This window comes from Homo sapiens, chromosome 15 (genome assembly GCF_000001405.40).
Source record: "Homo sapiens chromosome 15, GRCh38.p14 Primary Assembly".
In the NCBI taxonomy this organism is placed as follows: domain Eukaryota; kingdom Metazoa; phylum Chordata; class Mammalia; order Primates; family Hominidae; genus Homo; species Homo sapiens.
In genome coordinates, this window is record NC_000015.10 from 49,249,157 (window position 1) to 49,271,440 (window position 22,284).

Here is a 22,284-nt window from a genome sequence, read left to right on the forward strand (position 1 = left end):
ACTTAAAGATGAAAATACAAGGATAGATAACCCCCCTACCAAATTCAGAAGTGTTTCTCATTTATTTTCATGCATTTCTGTTTCACAGAGGTTATGGTAGCCATCTTGGTCAAGAGTTACCTATGCTGACTCCCAGACTAATATTTGATAGAGTAAGGAAGACAATGAAAGACTGACTTAACTTTGTCCCCTCTGTGGCCAATTTGCTCTGTAACTTGTGATAACTTCCCTATGCCTCAGTTTCTGTTTCTAAAATAAGGGTGAGAATAGTTCTTCCTTTAACTTCACAAGGATGACTCAGTTAAACTGGCTTAATACCTACAGTTCTCTGACCTTCCTGATAGGAGATTTTGATGAAGTTCAGGGAAAGAGTTTAGCAAGAAAATAGGTAAGGTAGGAAAATAAATTAGTAGTCAGGGAAGTTTTTGTAATTGTATGAAGTTTTGTTGACTGTATTGGTGGTATAAAAAGTAAAGTAGAGGTTCCTTTTCAAAGAGACTCTCCTCCCTGTCTAATTAGGAATAAATAGTACTTCTCTTAGAAGCAAAATTTATTCAAAGAGCTGTGCTAACATTCTTAAATATCTGCTAGCTCTAATAAAGAAATCAATGTACTTTATGTTCTTAGCTCCCACAATTTAGCCTAAATATTTGCCCTGGCATGCTTATACTGGTCCAAGCGGGCATTAGGTTATAGCCTGTTCCTCTTCCTTATTTGGAGGTGTTTTTACCTTTCTCAGCATTCCACAAGTTACTTCCTCCTTCCTTTGTTCTCGTCTGCCCGTGCCTCTTTTAAAAAGTTCTAAGTTGCTAGCCAATTGGGACAAATACAGAATGTGAGGTCCCGTACTAGCCAATGGAAACCGGACATAGCAGTAGGGTGGACGCGTCAGGTTATAAATGACTCTGTCTCCTTTGTTTGGTGTACTCTTGTGGTAAAACTGCTGGCGAGTGTACCCTTTCTGCAGAAAGTAAAAATGGCCTTGCTGAGGAAATTAAATTTATGTTCAAGTGCTATTTCTTTATGGCACCGGGGAACAAGCATTTCTAACAGTGGTCATGGGAAGAGTAAGGAGCCAAATCATATTGTGTGGAGAAGAAAGTGATTCAAAGAGAAAAGGTTAATAAATGAGACTGGTTAAAGCATGCACTGCAGTATTGGAGACACAAAGATTTGGAGGTTATTACTGCAAAATATGACTTTAAAGTTTTATGTTAGAATTTTCATGAGAGTAAAAGATGTCTTTTTAAAAAAATTACTGTTAAGCACCTAGATGTTTTATGCACATCAACTCTAACTTTGTGGTAGTCTTGTAAATAAGTTTTACTACTATTTCAATTTTGCAGAGGAAAATATGAGGCTCAGAGAATTTATATAATGTCACCAAAGACAAATCACATGTAACTGGAGTTGTCTGGATTCCAGCTCACATATTTTTGATCCAAAATGGATACTTTTCTATTCAGCCATGCTGCTACCTATGGTATAATGTAATTATACCATATTGTCTGATATAATCAGTATCATAGACATCGGAAAACCCTGGAGATGAGGTCCAGCCCTAACATTCTGTGATCCTTCTGATGTCCTAAAAGACAGGGAAGTAAATTATACATTTTCATGTATATAATTAATGTGAATTGGATTTTTTAAATAAGTTGACAGATTTTATACTCTTTGTCAAAGTTATAATGATATTTTTTTGAAATCCTACTATATCCAAAGCAAACGGTTGGATTCTCAGGATATAGGAAAACTTAGATACAGTCTTTGGGCCTTAGAAGTTTATAATTTCAGTAGGGAGATTAGATTAACATAAAAATGGAAATGTCATGCAAAAGTAGCATATACAAATTCTTCCAAAGAATACGAAAACAAAGAACACTTCCCAACTTGTATTATGAGGCCAGTAAAACCTTTCTGCCAAACCAAATGTGATAGCTTGATACCAAACCTGACAAGGACATCACAAGAAAAGAGAATTACAGGTCAATCTCTCTCATGACATTGGATACAAAAAATTCTGAACAAAATGTTCACAAATTTAATCTGGTAATATTATAGGCTAATACATTGTGGCCAAGATGAGTTTATTCTAAGAATTTAAGGTTGGTTTATCATTTAAAAATCAGTGTTATTTACCATATTAACAGTAAAACATGTCATCTTGATATATAAAGGAAAGAGTTTGATAAGATTTATCATGCATTCATGATAAAAACTCTTAGCAAATTAGTAGAATTCAGTATAATGACTGCCTTTGGGAATTAGGGAAGAGAAATGATTAGGTAGAGACATGAAGAGACCTTCTAGAGTGCTGGCAGAGGTTCATTACTTTTTCTTTTATTGTGGCAAGACCACTTAACATGAGATCTACCCTCTTAACAAAATTTTAAATGTATAATACATTATCATTGACTATAGGTGCAATGTTGTAGAGCAGATCTCTAGAGCTTGTCCAGCTTGTTTGACTGAAGCTTTATGCCAGTTGATTAGTAACTCCCCATCCACCTCACCCTGCACCAGCAACCATCATTCCACTCTGATTCTAAGTGCTTCATTTCTTAACCTTGATGGTGGTTACGAGGATGTTTCCTTTGTGACAAATTATTAAGCTTTATTTTTATGCTTTATATACTTTTCTCTATGTTCTGTACTTCCTAAACATAAAAAATAGCAAGACTTTCTTCAACCCTAGGATCAACCACTGTTAAAAGATTTTTAATGAATCCTTCCAGAAATACTCTATCCAATGTAATATATACATATGTTTGCCCTTTTTGTAAAACACCCAGGAAAATTTTATATATAAATATATGTATATATTGGCCCGGTGCGGTGCCTCATGCCTGTAATCCCAGCACTTTGGGAGGCAAAGGCGGGTGGATCACTTGAGGTCAGGAGTTTGAGACCACCCTGGCCAACATGGTGAAACTCTGTCTCTCCTAAAAATACAAAAAATTAGCTGGGTATGATGGTGAGCACCTGTAATCCCAGCTATCAGGAGGCTGAGGCAGGAGGATTGCTTGAACCCGGGAGGCAGAGGTTGCAGTGAGGCGAGATCGCACCATTGCACTCCAGTCTGGGTGACAGAGTAAGACTTCGTCTCAAAAAAAAAATTATACACACACACACATACACACACATCTTTCCCCTTGCTTTGCTTTTTCACTTAAAACCATAAATTGGGAATCATTCCATGTCAGCACATCTACATATACTGAATTCTCTTTAATGGCTGCCTTGTTTTCTAATATACGGTCATACTATAATGCCCAATTATAGATTTTGGTGTGATGGTAATGTTCTAAAATTGGCCTGACTATTGGACATTTCAGTTGTTTCCAGGGTTTTGTATAATATCAGTTTTAATACTTAATAATATTTCTTTATAAGGATATGCTATACTTTATTTAACTAGACCTCTATGATGGAAATGTAGGTTGTTTTCAAGTTTCCACTATTATAAAGAAGGCTCTGATGAATATTCTTGTAGACAATTATTTTCATACTTATTCACTTTTTTATTTAACATAAATCCCAGAACATAAAGTTACTGGGTTAAAAGATATGATAACTTTACTTTTGAAATACACTGCCCAATCCGGAAAGATTTTACCAGCAATGCAGCAACATTGCATGAGAGGATCTATTTTCCTACTACTGAAGTTCTATCAATCTTTTAAATCTTTCCTAATCTGAAAGATGTTGTCATGGCCATTTCTTTAATTATTAGATAGTTTAATTAGATAGTTTAAATGTTTAATCTTTTCCATGTCTTTTATTGATCACTTGCATTTTTTGATTTGGCTGTATATCAACTCAGCTCATTTTCTCCTGGAGTATTTATCAATCATCTTATTACTTTATAAGAACTCTTCATATGCTAACCATTCATCTATTATATGTTGCAAATATTTATCCCTGCTCAAACTAATTTTCTGTTTGACTTCTTTTAAACTAACAATTGTGAAGCAAAAGTCACTTTAGTCATATTTAATCACATATAGCATAGGATCATTATATGTGCATTCAATTTTATCTTCCTTGAGTTGAAAATACTCTATAATCTCTCATTTCATTTTGAAGTACTTGGACACAGGGAGCCTCATAGACTCAGGGATTTTACTTAGCATCTCTCAGGAGATCTCCACTAAATGGATCCCAGGGTTCTCTTGTCTACTACAGGTGTGACCTTTTATCTTTAGACGCTTACTCAGAGGAACCAAAACTGTGACTGATTTGCATTGTAAGCAGGAATATTTTTTCTTTCTTTCTTTTTTTTTGTGGTGAAAGCAAGTTTATTAAGCAACTAAAGGAATAAAAGAATCACTACTTCATAGGCAGAGCAGCCAGCAGGAATATTTTTTCCAATAGCATTTGTGCAGTAAGACATACACTTTTGAATCATGAATAATGTAACTTACCATCTGTTTAGCACTTGGAAAGTTTCAAAGAACTGTACCATGATCCATATGATAGGCCATTTAACTCTGTTAAGTAAGGTACAACTGCCAACTTCTTAGACCAGAGCCCTGCCTCTCAGAGACTTCCTGGAGCCTAGCTATAGGAGTGTTTACTTAGGACTCTAGACTTTATGTTATATCAAAGAGATATGGAAGATTTCACTTTTATAGTATATTAACATTGTCCCCATTTCATCTTTGGACCTTAAAACACCAAGCATCATCATCATCATCATCATCAACAACAACTACACAAAACTGTTGAGGGGCACAGTCATTGGGTGGATAGGCTTAGGTTCATTCAGCCCTTCTGGATCTTGGGTCAGCCACTGGTATTGACAATAGGGATGAATTTTCAATCTTGAAGGACATATAAATTTGTTAAGAATAAAAGAAGTGCAGTTAGTCTGGCAAATTGTAAATAACCTTAAAACTTTTCTCCCTAAAGAGAGATGATTGTATCACTTTCTTATGAGCATCTTTACAGTGCCTGACATAAAGGAGGCAAGTAATTGGATTGGGTTGAATTAGTGAACTACCTTCATCTGTAAAGCAGCCATTTTCCCCTAGTGTTAGTACTATATTTGGATGAATTAACAACTGGTTGTTAATTTTGACTGTATTTATATAAATTAAAGTGAAGCAAGACCCTGTGGAATTTATTTGTGACCATCAAAGACCATAAATCTCTTACATTTTAAGTAAGTTACAGAGAAAGTAAAATTGGTGATGAGTCCTGTGGTTACAAAGGCATTCAGAGATTATCTGATTATTTCTTCTTCTGATAAAATTATGTTATTGCTTTGTAAAATATAAGCAAAAATCTAAGCAATCAGGACTCTTTATGCTGTCAAGACCTTTTCATTGTAATGAAAGTGCTCCTTTTTATTTTTATAATTTAATTTGTATTTATATTTATTTTCATGACAAAATATTTTAATTCTCATCAGGTTTTATAAATAGTTCTTCAAATGTCACTATGGTTTAAATTTGGTGATAAAGCAGAGAATTTGGATAAAAGAAAATTTGGTGATAAAGGAAGAAATTTATTGGAAAAATTTAAAAGATGTAGATTTTTTAGGGATAGTTCACAGAAACCTATGTGTTAATGCAGGGTGCTTTTATATTTAGAAGTTTTCATTGATTTTCTTCAATTATTTGGGATAATATTGTTACCTATTGACAGCGATGTTACATCTCTCACACACACATGATTAGATGTATTGTTAATGTACCACTTAAAATTTTTTTCCAACTTTTAATTATGAGAAAATTTCAAAAGGATAGAAGAGGCAAGAATAGGCAATGAACATGTATGTCTTTCACATAGATCCTTGGAAACATTTTGCCACATTTGCTTTATCTTTCTCTCTACTTTTTTTTCTGAGCCATTTGGGAATTAATTGCGGACATCACCTCTGAGTACATCAATATTCATCCCCTCAAAGCAAGGCATTCTTTAATATGCCACACTATATCATTGGAACATTTAACATTGATATAATATTATTATCTAATATGCAGTTCATATTCAAATTTCCCAATTGTCTCAATAGTAATGTCCTTTAGAACTTCTTTTTCTTGTTCTTTTTCTTTCTTTCTTTTAATTTTTTCTGATTGAGAATTTACTTATTCAAGATAATTGAATACATTCTGGATCTGAAAAATTAAAAAGAAAGGAATTAAATACTACTCATAATAATACTCAGTTTTACCAATAATTGGATTTAATTAATATCATCATTGCATTTAGTTTTTTTTTCATTTTTTTAGTTTACTTTATTTTAGAACAGTTCCCCAGCATTTTTTTGTCTTTTATGACACTGACAATTTTGAAGCGTCCAGGCCAAATTTTTTTGTTCAAATTTCCTGAATTTGGATTTGTCAGACGGTTGCCTTATTATTAGATTGAGACTAAGGTTTTTTGCCCCAAGAATACTGTATAGGTGATGGATGTCCTTCTTGGTGAATTGCATCACATGGTTTCTGTTTCTCCAATTGTACTTAACATTATTTAATACACAGAGATAGGTAGAGATCTGCTGTCTATCAAAATAATGCCATAGTTTAGGTATGTCATATGAATTCCCCTTTATAAAGGTGGAGTTTTTGTTAATAAAAGTTCTTTAAAAGTGTATTAAAAGTGATGATAGAGACTATAACATAGTCTTCTATTACATGTTTTAATTAATAATGCATGTTTGTCAAATGAGTGAAAAATAGCAATGACTTAAAAATCACAAATTCTCAATTTTGTCAAGGAATTTCAATTCATTATTGCACTGCTATTTAAGTCTGTTCATGTTCTTCATTGTTTTGTTTAGGAAACAAAATGTACTAAGCTTGGAATAAACTGTTTGAGATGTCTAACATAAAAATAACCAAAGCAGATGTAATTTTATACTGCCACTGTGTATATAGGGTTACATTATTTCACTTGCAGTCACTTAGGGTTTGTATATATCACATTTCAGTATAATGACATGGGCAGGCTCCAAAGAAAATACCAAGCAACGCGAATTTGGTTTGACTAACAAATATTTACATGTCTTTGTGTCTGTAATTATTGTAATCTTTTAAGGGGTTTATGCTACACAGGCTTAATTCTCTAGAGCTCTGTGTTAGATTAAAAGAGGCTGATCAGTAGTATATATAACTGTAAAAATGATACTGTAGCCCGTCTAGATAAATTGGTATAAGCCAGAGCTTCTGCAGGGAACAGGTGGACTTAAGAGAGCCCTGACATGGGCAGATAGCTGCCTTTCATGTGCATGCTTTCTTATGTGTTTTAGCCTTTTCTTTCTTTCCAGATGGGTGGTGTTGATGGAACCATCATTTGATTGTTATTTGATCTTTTCAGGTTTCTCTAGTCATGTAGTTAGCACATTGGAAGCAAGAAAAGATAAACAGTACAGTCCTTTCCTCATCTATAGGAGGCAGACAGATAGTTGTATTGCTGGTACTGAACCATTCACGTATATTTGCTTACTCAGTACCATCCGTGTCAATTTGCAAGCTTTAGCCAGATGTAATTGGTTAAATAGATTCTCCCCTGTTGCCCCCTTGATTAAAGCTCCTTGGCCTGTAAGATGTCAATATCCTATTAACTTTTAACTTCACTATAGCGCTTCTTAGTTTGTATTGTAAAGATGTTTCCCTCTAGACCATCATGGGGTTTTCAAGCATAGAGACTATTTATTTTTTAAATGTTTGGATCCCCATAGACTCAAATCACAACTGATTTAGATCAGGCAGTATGGTGCCTAACTGAATTAATTAAAAAAATGTAATCTCATTTGCAACATAATTTCCTGGTGATGACATAAATAATTATTTGAGTTTTAACTTGAGATTCTATCAATTTTACAATTTGGTTTAATCCAGAGGATTTATTCATTTATCCACATTGACTGAGGAGTTATTATGTTCCAGGCAGGGTTGATCCACTGGTCTCTCTCCTGCCTCTCTTATGGCTGATGTCTATTCTGAGTTGTTGGTGTCTCTGCCACACTGGCTGGTGACTGTCATTATTAGTTTTAGGCATTTGTGCTAGTTGCTGGGTTCCGCCTAGTTGCTAATAGGCTTTGTCTGTTATATACAGACATAAATCCCATAAATTTAAGCATGTGAATTAGTAAAGTTGTCATAGTAACAGTTCTAGTAAAGACTGTTCCTCTTGGATGTCACACTTGAACCCGCTGAATTTTGTCACCTGCCTCTTACATTCTCAGATGAAGGAGTTATTACACAGGGAGGTGGTAAAGGAGCAACAGAGGCAAAGAAATGGGATGCACTCATATAATATAATTGGCTACCCAAAATGGAGATGTTTCTAAAGGCATAAATATCTCTGGATGCATGTGGAAACCTCTCTTTTATCCCTGATTGTATTCTCCTTTAGTGTAAAGAATAGGCATTACATAGCTATTATAACTAGTAAAGTTAGAGTTTTTGTTTATCAGAAATTTAAGATCAATTAAATATTTTCTAATTAAAGTGTTGTAGTTAAAAATTATAAATATTGACTGAACACAATGGCAGTGAGAATACAGTTTTCAAGTGTGAGTTTTAGCACTGAGGGCTAGTTCATGAGCTGGGTGTTCCCAAAGCCATGGGTAGAAGTAGGAAATACAGCACAACATCTTAAATGGGTGAAACTATATTTCTTAATAACCCTAGGTTTTTCCTGATCTCATTAGAAATGATTATATGTTCCTTAAAATTTTTTTAACTGTAAAAGCAATATATTCTATTTTATAAGATTATGGATTATTTTATTTAATTTTAATTATAATTGTAATAAAATAACATTTTATTTAATTTTAATTATAATTATAATAAAATAACATTTTATTTAATTAGAAATTAAAGAAAATTATCCATAATCTTATACAACCAAATATTGGACTCACAGTCACCTTAAGTATTGTGAGGAAAATAAAATCTTTGTATCTTTAAATATTACAACTCAAAGAGACTACATTTAGCTCATATGTTGATTCAATTAACAATTTTTAATAACATATCTATTTTGTGTCAGGCACTATTCCTGGCACTGGGGTAGAGCAATTACTAAAATGCAGTGCCTGCTCTCATGGAGCTTACAATTAAGTGGGGAAAGAAGGGTGATGGAAAAGAAATAAGTGAAAAGATAACCTAAAGTGTTAAAAGCCTTGAAGAAAAAGCAGGGTTTGAGATGGAGAGTGGCAGGGGGTATTAGTATATTTTAAGGAAGTAAGGGAAGTTCTGTCTGATGAGGTAACGTTTGAGCAGAGATTTTGGGATAAGGGCATTCCAGACTGAAGGAATGGTGGATATAAAGATCCTGAGGTGGTGGGATATTGATGCACTAACTATATGCTAGGCTTTTAAAATCCTAACAGTGACACAATGAAGTAGGTAATTATTATAATTTGTATTTTGCAGAGAAGGAAACTTACATGCTTTAACCACTGTGCTATACACCCACATGATGTAATAGAGCAGAGAGTTAAAGTATGTAACTCAGGTCCCAGGAGGCCAGGAAAAGTTCCCCAGAGGAGTTGCTCCTTGAATTTAGTTGTAGTGAAAAAGCAAGTAGAAAATGAGAAGGGTTTAGAATTCTGGTCTGTTTTCTCCTGTTACTATATCCCCAGAAGCACATTTATTTGGAAGCATATATATATATATATATGTGTGTGTGTGTGTGTGTGTGTGTGTGTGTGTGTGAGAGAGAGAGAGAGAGAGAGAGAGATGGTATCTCATTGTGGTTTTGATTTGCATTTCTCTGATGGCCAGTGATGGTGAGCATTTTTTCATGTGTTTTTTGGCTGCATAAATGTCTTCTTTTGAGAAGTGTCAGTTCATGTCCTTCACCCATTTTTTGATGGGGTTGTTTTTTTCTTGTAAATTTGTTTGAGTTCACTGTAGATTCTGGATATTAGCCCTTTGTCAGATGAGTAGGTTGTGAAAATTTTCTCCTATTTTGTATACATATATATATATGTATACTAAAAATTGATAAGCTATAGAGGAGATGATCATAGACCTCAGGGAAGGATAAAGTGAGTAGTTCCATTATTTATTTTATTTTATTATTATTATACTTTAAGTTTTAGGGTACATGTGCACAATGTGCAGGTTAGTTACATATGTATACATGTGCCATGCTGTTGTGCTGCACCCATTAACTCCTCATTTAGCATTAGGTATATCTCCTAAAGCTATCCATCCCCCCTCCCCCCACCCCACAACAGTTCCCCAGAGTGTGATGTTCCCCTTCCTGTGTCCATGTGTTCTCATTGTTCAGTTCCCACCTATGAGTGAGAATATGTGGTGTTTGGTTATTTGTTCTTGTGATAGTTTACTGAGAATGATGATTTCCAATTTCATCCAGGTCCCTACAAAGGACATGAACTCATCATTTTTTATGGCTGCATAGTATTCCATGGTGTATATGTGCCACATTTTCTTTTTTTTTTTTAATTATTATTATACTTTAAGTTTTAGGGTACATGTGCACAATGTGCAGGTTAGTTACATATGTATACATGTGCCATGCTGGTGCGCTGCACCCACTAACTTGTCATCTAGCATTAGGTATATCTCCCAATGCTATCCCTCCCCCCTCCCCCAACCCCACCACAGTCCCCAGAGTGTGATGTTCCCCTTCCTGTGTCCATATGTTCTCATTGTTCAATTCCCACCTATGAGTGAGAATATGTGGTGTTTGGTTTTTTTGTTCTTGCGATACTTTACTGAGAATGATGATTTCCAGTTTCATCCACGTCCCTACAAAGGATATGAACTCATCATTTTTTATGGCTGCATAGTATTCCATGGTGTATATGTGCCACATTTTCTTAATCCAGTCTATCATTGTTGGACATTTGGGTTGGTTCCAAGTCTTTGCTATTGTGAATAGTGCCGCAATAAACATACGTGTGCATGTGTCTTTATAGCAGCATGATTTATAGTCCTTTGGGTATATACCCAGTAATGGGATGGCTGGGTGAAATGGTATTTCTAGTTCTAGATCCCTGAGGAATCGCCACACAGACTTCCACAAGGTTTGAACTAGTTTACAGTCCCACCAACAGTGTAAAAGTGTTCCTATTTCTCCACATCCTCTCCAGCACCTGTTGTTTCCTGACTTTTTAATGATCGCCATTCTAACTGGTGTGAGATGGTATCTCATTGTGGTTTTGATTTGCATTCCTCTGATGGCCAATTTCATGTGTTTTTTGGCTGCATAAATGTCTTCTTTTGAGAAGTGTCTGTTCATGTCCTTCGCCCACTTTTTCATGGGGTTGTTTGTTTTTTTCTTGTAAATTTGTTTGAGTTCATTGTAGATTCTGGATATTAGCCCTTTGTCAGACGAGTAGGTTGTGAAAATTTTCTCCCATTTTGTAGGTTGCCTGTTCACTCTGATGGTAGTTTCTTTTGCTGTGCAGAAGCTCTTTAGTTTAATTAGATCCCATTTGTCAATTTTGGCTTTTGTTGCCATTGCTTTTGGTGTTTTAGACATGAAGTCCTTGCCCATGCCTATGTCCTGAATGGTAATGCCTAGGTTTTCTTCTAGGGTTTTTATGGTTTTAGGTCTAACGTTTAAGTCTTTAATCCATCTTGAATTGATTTTTGTATCAGGTGTAAGGAAGGGATCGAGTTTCAGCTTTCTACATATGGCTAGCCAGTTTTCCCAGCACCATTTATTAAATAGGGAATCCTTTCCCCATTGCTTGTTTTTCTCAGGTTTGTCAAATATCAGATAGTTGTAGATATGTGGTGTTATTTCTGAGGGCTCTGTTCTGTTCCATTGATCTATATCTCTGTTTCGGTACCAGTACCATGCTGTTTTGGTTACTGTAGCCTTGTAGTATAGTTTGAAGTCAGGTAGTGTGATGCCTCCAGCTTTGTACTTTTGGCTTAGGATTGGCTTGGCAATGCAGGCTCTTTTTTGGTTCCATATGAACTTTAAAGTAGTTTTTTCCAATTCTGTGAAGAAAGTCATTGGTAGCTTGATGGGGATGGCATTGAATCTATAAATTACCTTGGGCAGTATGGCCATTTTCATGATATTGATTCTTCCTACCCATGAGCATGGAATGTTCTTCCATTTGTTTGTATCCTCTTTTATTTCCTTGAGCAGTGGTTTGTAGTTCTCCTTGAAGAGGTCCTTCACGTCCCTTGTAAGTTGGATTCCTAGGTATTTTATTCTCTTTGAAGCAATTGTGAATGGGAGTTCACTCATGATTTAGCTGTCTGTTTGTCTGTTATTGGTGTATAAGAATGCTTGTGATTTTTGTACATTGATTTTGTATCCTGAGACTTTGCTGAAGTTGCTTATCAGCTTAAGGAGATTTTGGGCTGAGACAATGGGGTTTTCCAGATATACAATCATGTCATCCGCAAACAGGGACAATTTGACTTCCTCTTTTCCTGATTGAATACCCTTTATTTCCTTCTCCTGCCTAATTGCCCTGGCCAGAACTTCCAACACTATGTTGAATAGGAGTGGTGAGAGAGGGCATCCCTGTCTTGTGCCACTTTTCAAAGGGAATGCTTCCAGTTTTTGCCCATTCAGTATGATATTGGCTGTGGGTTTGTCATAGATAGCTCTTATTATTTTGAAATACATCCCATCAATACCTAATTTATTCAGAGTTTTTAGCATGAAGGGTTGTTGAATTTTGTCAAAGGCTTTTTCTGCATCTATTGAGATAATCATGTGGTTTTTGTCTTTGGTTCTGTTTATATGCTGGATTACATTTATTGATTTGTGTATATTGAACCAGCCTTGCATCCCAGGGATGAAGCCCACTTGATCATGGTGGGTAAGCTTTTTGATGTGCTGCTGGATTCAGTTTGCCAGTATTTTATTGAGGATTTTTGCATCAATGTTCTTCAAGGATATTGGTCTAAAATTCTCTTTTTTGGTTGTGTCTCTGCCCGGCTTTGACATCAGGATGATGCTGGCCTCATAAAATGAGTTAGGGAGGATTCCCTCTTTTTCTATTGATTGGAATATTTTCAGAAGGAATGGTACCAGTTCCTCCTTGTACCTCTGGTAGAATTCGGCTGTGAATCCATCTGGTCCTGGACTCTTTTTGGTTGGTAAGCTATTGATTATTGCCACAATTTCAGAGCCTGTTATTGGTCTTTTCAGAGATTCAACTTCTTCCTGGTTTAGTCTTGGGAGGGTGTATGTGTCGAGGAATTTATCCATTTCTTCTGGATTTTCTAGTTTATTTGCATAGAGGTGTTTGTAGTATTCTCTGATGGTAGTTTGTATTTCTGTGGGATCGGTGGTGATATCCCCTTTATCATTTTTTATTGCGTCTATTGATTCTTCTCTGTTTTCTTCTGTATTAGTCTTGCTAGCGGTCTGTCAATTTTGTTGATCCTTTCAAAAAAACCAGCTCCTGGATTCATTAATTTTTTGAAGGGTTTTTTGTGTCTCCATTTCCTTCAGTTCTGCTCTGATTTTAGTTATTTCTTGCCCTCTGCTAGCTTTTGAATGTGTTTGCTCTTGCTTTTCTAGTTCTTTTAATTGTGATGTTAGGGTGTCAATTTTGGATCTTTCCTGCTTTCTCTTGTGGGCATTTAGTGCTATAAATTTCCCTCTACACACTGCTTTGAATGCATCCCAGAGATTCTGGTATGTTGTGTCTTTGTTCTCGTTGGTTTCAAAGAACATCTTTATTTCTACCTTCATTTCATTATGTACCCAGTAGTCATTCAGGAGCAGGTTGTTCAGTTTCCATGTAGTTGAGCAGTTTTGAGTGAGATTCTTAATCCTGAGTTCTAGTTTGATTGCACTGTGGTCTGAGAGATAGTTTGTTATAATTTCTGTTCTTTTACATCTGCTGAGGAGAGCTTTACTTCCAAGTATGTGGTCAGTTTTGGAATAGGTGTGGTGTGGTGCTGAAAAAAATGTATATTCTGTTGATTTGGGGTGGAGAGTTCTGTAGATGTCTATTAGGTCCGCTTGGTGCAGAGCTGAGTTCAATTCCTGGGTATCCTTGTTGACTTTCTGTCTCGTTGATCTGTCTAATGTTGACAGTGGGGTGTTAAAGTCTCCCATTATTAATGTGTGGGAGTCTAAGTCTCTTTGTAGGTCACTCAGGACTTGCTTTATGAATCTTGGTGCTCCTGTATTGGGTGCACATATATTTAGGATAGTTAGCTCTTCTTGTTGAATTGATCCCTTTACCATTATGTAATGGCCTTCTTTGTCTCTTTTGATCTTTGTTGGTTTAAAGTCTGTTGTATCAGAGACTGGGATTGCAACCCCTGCCTTTTTTTGTTTTCCATTGGCTTGGTAGATCTTCCTCCATCCTTTTATTTTGAGCCTATGTGTGTCTCTGCACATGAGATGGGTTTCCTGAATACAGCACACTGATGGGTCTTGACTCTTTATCCAATTTGCCAGTCTGTGTCTTTTAATTGGAGCATTTAGTCCATTTACATTTAAAGTTAATATTGTTATATGTGAATTTGATCCTGTCATTATGATGTTAGCTGGTTATTTTGCTTGTTAGTTGATGCAGTTTCTTCCTAGTCTCGATGGTCTTTACATTTTGGCATGATTTTGCAGCGGCTGGTACTGGTTGTTCCTTTCCATGTTTAGTGCTTCCTTCAGGAGCTCTTGTAAGGCAGGCCTGTTGGTGAGAAAATCTCTCAGCATTTGCTTGTCTGTAAAGTATTTTATTTCTCCTTCACTTATGAAGCTTAGTTTGGCTGGATATGAAATTCTGGGTTGAAAATTCTTTTCTTTCAGAATGTTGAATATTGGCCCCCACTCTCTTCTGGCTTGTAGGGTTTCTGCCAAGAGATCCACTGTTAGTCTGATGGGCTTCCCTTTGAGGGTAACCCGACCTTTCTCTCTAGCTGTCCTTAACATTTTTTCCTTCATTTCAACTTTGGTGAATCTGACAATTATGTGTCTTGGAGTTGCTCTTCTCGAGGAGTATCTTTGTGGCGTTCTCTGGATTTCCTGAATCTGAACGTTGGCCTGCCTTGCTAGATTGGGGAAGTTCTCCTGGATAATATCCTGCAGAGTGTTTTCCAACTTGGTTCCATTCTCCCCATCACTTTCAGGTACACCAATCAGACGTAGATTTGGTCTTTTCACATAGTCCCATATTTCTTGGAGGCTTTGCTCATTTCTTTTTATTCTTTTTTCTCTAAACCTCCCTTCTCGCTTCATTTCATTCATTTCATCTTCCATCACTGATACCCTTTCTTCCAGTTGATCGCATCGGCTCCTGAGGCTTCTGCATTCTTCACGTAGTTCTCGAGCCTTGGCTTTCAGCTCCATCAGCTCCTTTAAGCGCTTCTCTGTATTGATTATTCTAGTTATACATTCGTCTAAATTTTTTTCAAAGTTTTCAACTTCTTTGCCTTTGGTTTGAATGTCCTCCCAACGTAGCTCAGAGTAATTTGATCGTCTGAAGCCTTCTTCTCTCAGCTCGTCAAAGTCATTCTCCATCCAGCTTTGTTCCATTGCTGGTGAGGAACTGCGTTCCTTTGGAGGAGGAGAGGCGCTCTGCTTTTTAGAGTTTCCAGTTTTTCTGTTCTGTTTTTTCCCCATCTTTGTGGTTTTATCTACTTTTGGTCTTTGATGATGGTGATGTACAGATGGGTTTTTGGTGTGTATGTCCTTTCTGTTTGTTAGTTTTCCTTCTAACAGACAGGACCCTCAGCTGCAGGTCTGTTGGAGTTTGCTAGAGGTCCACTCCAGACCCTGTTTGCCTGGGTACCAGCAGTGGTGGCTGTAGTACAGCGGATTTTCGTGAACCGCGAATGCTGCTGTCTGATCGTTCCTCTGGTAGTTTTGTCTCAGAGGAGTACCCAGCCGTGTGAGGTGTCAGTCTGCCCCTACTGGGGGGTGCCTCCCAGTTAGGCTGCTTGGGGGTCAGGGGTCAGGGACCCACTTGAGGAGGCAGTCTGCCCATTCTCAGATCTCCAGCTGCGTGCTGGGAGAACCACTGCTCTCTTCAAAGCTGTCAGACAGGGACATTTAAGTCTGCAGAGGTTACTGCTGTCTTTTTGTCTGTGCCCTTCCCCCAGAGGTGGAGCCTACAGAGGCAGGCAGGCCTCCTTGAGCTGTGGTGGGCTCCACCCAGTTCTAGGTTCCTGGCTGCTTTATTTACCTAAGGAAGCCTGGGCAATGGCGCGCGCCCTCCCCCAGCCTGGCTGCCGCCTTGCAGTTTGATCTTATACTGCTGTGCTAGCAATCAGCGAGGCTCCGTGGGCATAGGACCCTCTGAGCCAGGTGCAGGATATAATCTCCTGGTGTGCCGTTTTTTAAGCCCGTCGGAAAAGCGCAGTGTTGGGTTGGGAGTGATGCGATTTTCCAGGTGCTGTCTGTCACCCCTTTCTTTGACTAGGAAAGGGAACTCCCTGACCCGTTGCGCTTCCCGAGTGAGGCAATGCCTCGCCCTGTTTTGGCTCGCGCGCAGTGCGCTGCATCCACTATCCTGTGCCCACTGTCTGGCACTCCCTAGGGAGATGAACCCAGTACCTCAGATGGAAATGCAGAAATCACCCGTCTTCTGCGTCGCTCACGCTGGGAGCTGTAGAGCGGAGCTGTTCCTATTCGGCCATCTTTGCTCCTGCCCCAGTAGTTCCATGTTTTTTTAACTGAATGGAACAAAATGTTTGAAATTGTTTGAATGTTTGAATATTCTTTGGGCTTCTGTGAAGATAAAATATTCCAAAAGCGCTTGTGAGTTTTTAAGATTCTTGCTAGCAAGGAAAAATAGCCCACTCAAGCCAGCTTCATTAAAAAAGGAGTGTTTGCTTTAAGTATGTGTCCTAAAATGCGAAGGAGGGTATGTCAGTTAGCTTTTGCTGTGTAACAATTTTTTTCGAAATATAGTGGCTTAAGACTACCACCACTTGGACTGGGTTCAGCTTGACAGTAATTCTGTCTATTTTGTCTGGACTCATTAAGACATCTGATCTCAGCTGCTGGTCAAGTTGGCACTTCTGCTTCTGGATTGGCTGGCTGTCAGCCGACATGATAGGAGGCCTTGGGCCACATGTTTATCATCCTCCAGGCTAGTCCAGGCTTGTCCAAATGGAGATCTCCAGCTTCCAAGAGCAGGTGGAGGGCAAGCTCCAATGTACAAGTGCTTTTCAAGTTTCTGTTTATATCTCATATGCCTCTACCCAAATTGAGCAAAGCAAGTTTTATCCCAGATTTAATGAGTGGAGAAACAGATTTCATCTTTTGATGGGTGGAACTGCAAAGTCACATTGCAAGGGAACGGAAACAGAGAGGGGAAGAATTTGTGGTCATTTTGCAGTCTAATATAATGGAGCTGGGTTTCAGGAATGCACAGAAACCTAAGTGTCGTTAAGACTGCCTCTCTCACTTGTCTTGCTCTCTGTTTTGCTTGTCTGTTTCATTCTTCTTAATCTTCAGACCAGCTTCCTCTACTTCTCTGGTCTCCATTTTAGAAAATATGGCTGCTGACAGCTTCTATGATCATATGAGATAGACATAGATCGCTTAAAACTGACTCTTTCCCCATTGGGAAGATTTTTCTGAAGAAGGAACTCTAGAAGGGGAATCTGGTTAGTGTCTTCAGCCAGGTACCCACTCCTGGATCTATGAATGGTGATAAAGCATTTTGTTGGGTGGATGGGAGATTGGGTGTGTGTGTGAATCTGGCAATTATGAGTTATATTGTTATAACCTTGTGGTATTAATAGTTGGAGGTAGAGTGCTAAGAAGGAGGAAAAAGAGTTCAGTGTCCCCAGAAAAGTGTAGAGATGGGAAGAGGGTGGCTAGACATCTCACATGGGTCCATTACGATGAGTTTTATAACTACTGTATTAATTTCAGGGGATTGAGAGTAGTGGCTGGGACCTGGGAGGAACGAGATGATGAACTAAAAACCAGTATGGAAGGGAGGTACTTGAGCCACGTAAAGGGGTAAAGGGTGTTAAAGAAAAAAATATTCAATGATATTTGTTAAAACATGGCAAAGCAGGCTTTCTTAAGGACCATTGTGATGAGATTTTGCAATGGGAGAGAGAAATTGGGCTCAACTCTGAATACAGCATGGCCAAATGGGAAGTTATAGCCAAGGAGCAGGGTAGGAGCCAGTGAATGGGAAATTAAACATCAGGAGTAATGAGGATTCCAGCTAACCTGACCTAAAAGGATTCTTGCTGAATGCAGGCCAAGGTGATCAGTCATTACCTGGAGGATGTTGGAAGATGAGGAACCTTATCAGATATCAAGGGTGATCAGATATTGAGGGTGGGGTGTTCTCACTAAACTGATTTAGCAAGGTGAACAGATGGGCCTAGTAGCTGGTTCAGGAGCATGACTGAAGTTTGGGCAAGCAAAGAATCGTTGTCAAGGTCTTCTGTCTCCAGAGTCTCAGTCCAATGGGGAATACCAATCCCTTCAATAATGGCAGCAGTGTTTCTAGTAACAGACTGGGAAATCTGTTTGGGTATGTCTTGGATGGTTTTATCACTTAAACCCTTTTTCTTCTACACATAATGCCATTTCTGTGATAACATGTTATTTCTGTTTTACTGGAATTTTCTAGTTCTTTATTTCCTCCTTTTCATGTTGGTCATATTATAGATGTTTTGATAGTTATTGGCATATTTTTCTTGAATAAATCAGAAAAATGGAAAGAAGTAAAATCCTTACTTCTTTCATATTTTTATCAAAGAAGGAAGTTGGAAAATATTGACTATAATGAATTTTCTAGATTTTTTTTCTGTATCTCAGCACATAAACATATAAAGAAGAATGAGATAGGTTTTTCTGTTATAAAACTCTGAATGAAGCAAAAGAAAGTGATATTTCACTCTCCAAGATTTGCCAGTGTCATATAATGACTGCATAGTTCCAGGATTTTAATTTGGTACATATTCATTTATCAGGGGAAGATTTTTGTCTCTGAATATGGTGGGTTAGCAGGGAAATGGGGAGTTGACATTGTATATTCATTTGTTCATTCATTCATTTATTCAGCATTCATTTATCAACAAATAGTTTAGGTATTAGAGATACAAGGTGAACAGAATGACTCCTCCCCTCATGGAGCTTAGACTAATGGAGGAAGACTAATATTAAACAAACATACACAAATATCTGTACACAGATTGTGATAAATGTTATGAAGGAAACAGATTATGAGAGAGAACAGGGAGAACCCAATTTAAATGGGGAAGAGTAGTTTTGGGAAAGGCTTTGTGGTGTCAGTTGAGATGTAAAAGCTGAGTTGCAGGTACAAGCCAAAAATTACTCATTTTTTAAAGTCACTATGTCATATGTCAATGTAAAATGCAGAGTGTTCTAGATTGCTTTGCAGAGCTAAAACTTCAGCTATAGAAATTAGTAATATATCCACTGAAAGATGTGGATAGAAAGAATCATGAAGTAAGAGAGAAAGTGAGCAGAGCTGCAGTCTGAGGCACAGGTGGTGTAATGTAAGGACAGTGGCTGATGTTGCAGGCTGCTGTTTGGTCCAGTAGCAGGGAGCCCATTATCCACCTTGCAAAGCAGCCAGCCAGGGTTCTATCCTTACTGGTATACCTTAGAAATGATCAGAAATGATCATCTTCTTTTTCTCCCCTTCTTCTACTGTCTCTCTTTAGACAATGTTAGCATCTTTTGCTCCATGGATTGGCAGTGTGTAAAATGGATTTATTTTCTAGCAAATTACCTTACCAATTGGGTACATCTCCTGGTCTAGGTTAGTTTTTGTTCCATTAGAAATTACTTCCCTCTCCTTTGAGCCCTTCTACCAATAGTGTGCTAAACTAAATGACATTTTTATATTTACATCCAAGATAGTGATTATGCAACATCATCTGCAATATTGTTTCTATTTTTATCTAAGTTTTGTTAAGCATTGTATTTATAACATTTATAATTTGGGGGAGTGTCAGGAGTAACTATATGTAGGTACTTAAGGAATGAAAATCTGGAGAAAGAGATTACAATCATTTATTTTTCAAAGGATAGGTTTTCTAGGTCAGCTTTTTGCCTTATGGATTAGAGTGTACTTGGGCTGTGATTTGTAATTAGATTGTTCATGAAAGTTATTGGTTGTCAGCACTTCTTTTGGTTCTCCCATGGTGTGTAGCATAGAGCCGCAAATATATATTTAAAAAGTGCTGTACAAGAGATCAAATGAATCTGCCCCTGAGGTACTTCTTCCATAGGGTATATTGTGCAGTGCAAGGTCAGGGGCCTGGTAGATTGCATGGAGGGTGAAGGTGAGCTCTTGTGGTAGTCTCAACTCAGCATAGGCCTCATAAACATGGGGAGTAGAGTTGTGCCCAAGAACCCACATTTTGGAAGACAGGACAAAATGGAAATTCTCTACTGTTTCATGAAGTTTTCCTTTTACTTCCCTCTCCTATTTTGCAAAGAGCAAGGAATTTAACCCTTTTGTTTCAGCATTTCTACATACATTTTCATCTTTTGTAGAACAGAATATTTATAAATTTTTAAAATTTGGAGGAGGACAAGGAAGTATAGTTTTTCCCTAGGAATTGAAGTTAAGACGCTGCTGTCTCTGAACCCCAGAACTCAGGGGCCCTCTCCCTATGTGCATTTTTATTCCACTCACCTCCCAACTTGAGATATTAATAGGAGATCATTTTCTACCCTCTGTTACCATAGTGATCTCACTGCTTCACAAATTAGCCCTTTTCATTCTTGGACCACTCTAATCATTGGAAAGATTTTCCTTCTATTTAATCAAACTCTATCCTTTCTATCTATATATCCCCAATTGTCTCCTCCTTTTGATAGTAGAATCCTTTGAAGTTTGAAGGAACCGCTTGTGCGTCCTCTTATTCTTTCTCTAAGCCACACATCCACTGTTGTTTCAACTATTCCTTATGGAATATGGCTACTGGACCTCCTCACCATTCTTGCTCCCTCTTCTTAGAATGTACTCTTGTTTATCATCGCTCCCCTAACGTAACTATTCCTCCCATCTGCTATGTCTCAGTTTTTTATTCTATTTGTACCAAGTGCCTATTTTCTTTATGTTTAAAGTGTCTAGGAATTATACAATCCAAAATATTCAGTAAGGTTAATAAATTAGAAGTAGAAAACTAGGACAAAAGAAAAGAATAAAAACATACCAACTCTTAATTACTTAATGTAATTGTTTTGTTTAATCTTACTTACTAAGATTCCTGGAGGCCAAGGTGAAAGGGCAATAGTAAGTTATAGAGGTCTCATGATCAGAATAGAGGAATCATTCCAGTTCTTCAGAAGAGGCAGTATTTTCCCTGGGGGTGCTAAATTCTGAAATGCATTTCTCACATGGATTCTTTAGAGCACATAAAATATAATGAAAATCACCTCTGCAATGTCTGAAAACAAATGCAAGAGTGGTGTTCACATGACTCTTTCTTATAATGACCTTCAGTAGATGCTCTGAGCATAACATTTGAGCACAGTGCAGTAAAATCAATTTATTTCATGTAACAACTCTTGGAACACCCTCAGCATTTCCTGACCCTAAAGATGCTTCCCACTACATGTCAAAGTGTTTGCGAATTAACTATTGTATACATAAAACCCTTTCCCCAAGGCAAATGTGTACACTGAGATATGTATTTGGTTGACTCGGATTATGATTCATAGAGGTTCTTTCTTTCTCTTTCGTTTGCATCTATATCTGTATGATCAGATCCATATTAGGAAAATTAGCAAGTATTCTCATAGTTATTATTATGCTAGGGAAAGAAATAGTAACTAGTCATCGAATGCCCCTCTCTTCTTGTCATTCTCTAGGAGAGTCCAGATTGGTTTACCACTAGAAATCCTGCAGTTAGGACCTCAAGAGTGGGACAGGACTGTTCTGCTCAAAACACAGTATAAGGAACCCTTCCTCCAGGGAATAGGAGGGTTCCTCTATCCATGGGAAGGAACATGCAATTCCAGGACACGCTTGCCAAACCACAGAGATTGTAAGCCTGCCGCCCATCCATTATTATCATTATTTAGCATTTTTAGAAGGTTAGAGCCAAAATAAGTATTCTGCCAGCCAAAGGAGTGACACCAGCCTTTACCACAGGCATTGGAGGCCCCGCTGGTATTTAGTAGCTGTGACTTGGGTCATATTATTGTCTGATTCCATCAGGCCGGCCAGGCTCCTGCCTCCTGTTGGCTTTCCCCAACAACTTTTTTTTAGGCAGTTTTTTCTCCCCTCTTCTCCTCTTCCCAGTAGTAGTTACTTTGGTATGTGTTTGCTGACTATTCCCTCCAACTCCCACCCTGTGTTTTCTAAGAATTTAAACAATGAAAGGGATTCAGTCAATTGTGCTAGTGAGAGATAAG

The 22,284-nt window shown here is 37.6% G+C and overlaps 1 protein-coding gene across 18 annotated transcripts in view, besides 1 other annotated feature; it reads left to right on the plus strand.

The window, feature by feature from the left end:
* Nucleotides 1-22,284, plus strand: part of GALK2 (galactokinase 2) — a 211,967-nt gene that overhangs the window by 93,383 nt on the left and 96,300 nt on the right. The gene's annotated exons all lie outside the window — the stretch shown is intronic.
* Nucleotides 16,494-17,693: an enhancer, noted in NCBI's record as "MED14-independent group 3 enhancer chr15:49557847-49559046 (GRCh37/hg19 assembly coordinates)". NCBI's record gives its function as "activates an origin of replication core promoter dependent on BRD2, BRD4, P300/CBP and CDK7 cofactors, and independent of MED14, by STARR-seq in HCT116 cells {active_cell/tissue: HCT116}" and the evidence as "EXISTENCE:reporter gene assay evidence [ECO:0000049][PMID:35650434]".